At 43.3% G+C, this 2012-nt stretch overlaps 1 annotated feature.

Moving 5' to 3' along the window:
* Positions 1070-1570: an enhancer, noted in NCBI's record as "H3K27ac hESC enhancer chr13:53530858-53531358 (GRCh37/hg19 assembly coordinates)". NCBI's record gives its function as "activates a minimal SCP1, AML or CMV promoter by ChIP-STARR-seq in naive H9 embryonic stem cells {active_cell/tissue: H9 hESC(naive)}" and the evidence as "EXISTENCE:reporter gene assay evidence [ECO:0000049][PMID:30033119]".

Genomic DNA, 2012 nt, shown 5'->3' on the forward strand with positions numbered 1-2012 from the left:
AAGGCCCTGGGGCTCAGCCAAGGCACGCGAGGGGAATAAGGTGCTGGGATCAGTTGAGCCCCGCTGGAGTCCAAGGCAAACATTTCCAAAGTGCTCCTGACTGACACTTCAATTCCCCATTCCCTGCTGAGAAAGCTTGCTTTCTAAGACTTGCATTTGAAAGGACAGTTACCCCCTCCCACTGACCTTTGCCTATTTTTTTTTCTTGTGGGGAAGAAAGGAGGGAAAAGAACTTAAGAAAGCAAAGAAAGAGACTGTCACAGTGCCCATTCCTCGCTATCAATCATTGGTGGGGGTGGAGGAGGTGAGTTGGGAGAAACCAGGAGGGGTGCAGGAAGGTCCCAAACTGCTTGTTGAAGAGCTGAAAAGTTTCCATTTTTATTCAAATATTATTAACATGATGGGAAAAAGCCATTTCCCAAGCTTTCTTATAGGTAATTTCCACTATGAATGCAGCCTCATGTGCTATTTCTCTTCTTTCTCTCTAACCCTCACTAGTGCCACACACATCTTAATTGTGTATCTTGTCGCCGGCAACCTAGGATTATTATTTTTTTCTTGACCAATTTATACTGATTGTGTGGGAAGTTCACAAGATATAGTGGGTGGGGTGGAACTTCAGAAATCCCTATACTAAATGCTGTGCCTCTGATGTAGGTCTTCAAACAACTCAAAGGTTCTAGGGTAAAAGAGTCAACTTTGCTATTATTTGGAGTCAATGTTCTTAGGATTCATTCTCCCTTCCTCCTGGCTCCCCCACCCCCATTCTCAGATAATGTAAGATAACTTGAAGGCTCCCAGGAAAAGGAACCAACTCTAATAAATTTCTGTTACTCAACTTTTTTTTCTTTTTTTTTTCATGTAGGAAGTAGAAAGAAAGCAAAATGTATTTCAGTAATTACCAGGGTTTGCCTGGATCCCAGGGCTTGCTGGATGAGGGAAGGCAGAGAGGGTTGGGAAAAAGGTACTTTGATCTTGATGGCATCAAACCTGCTCATCATGACATTCTTCCATGTCCCGGTGGAATGACTGTACCCATTTTATTTTTGACACTGGGCATGGCAAATATATTCTTTTTCATATCTTGTATTTATAGCAACATGTTATTTACATGACATTTAAAAGGTGTTTTGAATCGCTGAGTGGGAAAGTTCTAGAATGGAGTATGACCTTAGATGTCACCTTCTTCACGTCTTTACTTTCCAGAAGAGGAAACTGAATATGGAGAGCAGGGTCTTAAGTAAGGACACATACCAAGTTGGCGGCAGAAAAAGGATTGAGCTCAACAGAGGACAGACAATTGCCCAGAAGACTACTATAAATGGGCAAGCGGTAAATACTTACAGATGACCTTGCCCACTCCATTGTTTTAATTCATCAGCAAATACACTCTTTATAGCAGGCCCTGGGGACAGAGAGAGCCATCCCTGGTGGATTTCTGGACGTGTGTGCCTAGAGGAAAAATAATAGGCACAAAGTGTCATTTCCAGAAGAGAAAAAGAAGATGGCAATTTTTATCATTCCTATTTTCTTTTTGTTTTTATTTTTGAGACAGGGTCTCGCTCTGTTGTCCAGGCTGGAGTGCACTGGCATGATCATGGCTCACTGTAGCCTCAAACTCCTGGGCTCAAGCAATCCTCATGCTTCAGCATCCCGAGAGCGGAAACTTCGGGTGTGCACCACCACTCTTGGCTAATTTTTAAATTTTTCTTTTGTAGAGACAAGGTCTTGTCTCATGTGTCCGTGTGAAGAGACCACCAAACGGGCTTTGTGTGAGCAGCAAGGCTGTGTATTTCACCTGGGTGCAAGCGGGCTGAGTCCAAAAAGAGAGTCAACAAAGGGTGGTGGGATTATCGTTGTTTTTTACAGGTTTTGGGATAGGTGGTGGAGTTAAGAGCAATGTTTTGGGGGCAGGGGGTGGATCTCACAAACTACATTCTCAAGGGTGGGGAGAATTACAAAGAAACTTCTTAAGGGTGGGGGAGAATATAAAGAAATTTCTTAAGGGTGGG

The sequence above is a fragment of the Homo sapiens genome, chromosome 13 (assembly GCF_000001405.40).
Source record: "Homo sapiens chromosome 13, GRCh38.p14 Primary Assembly".
NCBI classification, from domain to species: domain Eukaryota; kingdom Metazoa; phylum Chordata; class Mammalia; order Primates; family Hominidae; genus Homo; species Homo sapiens.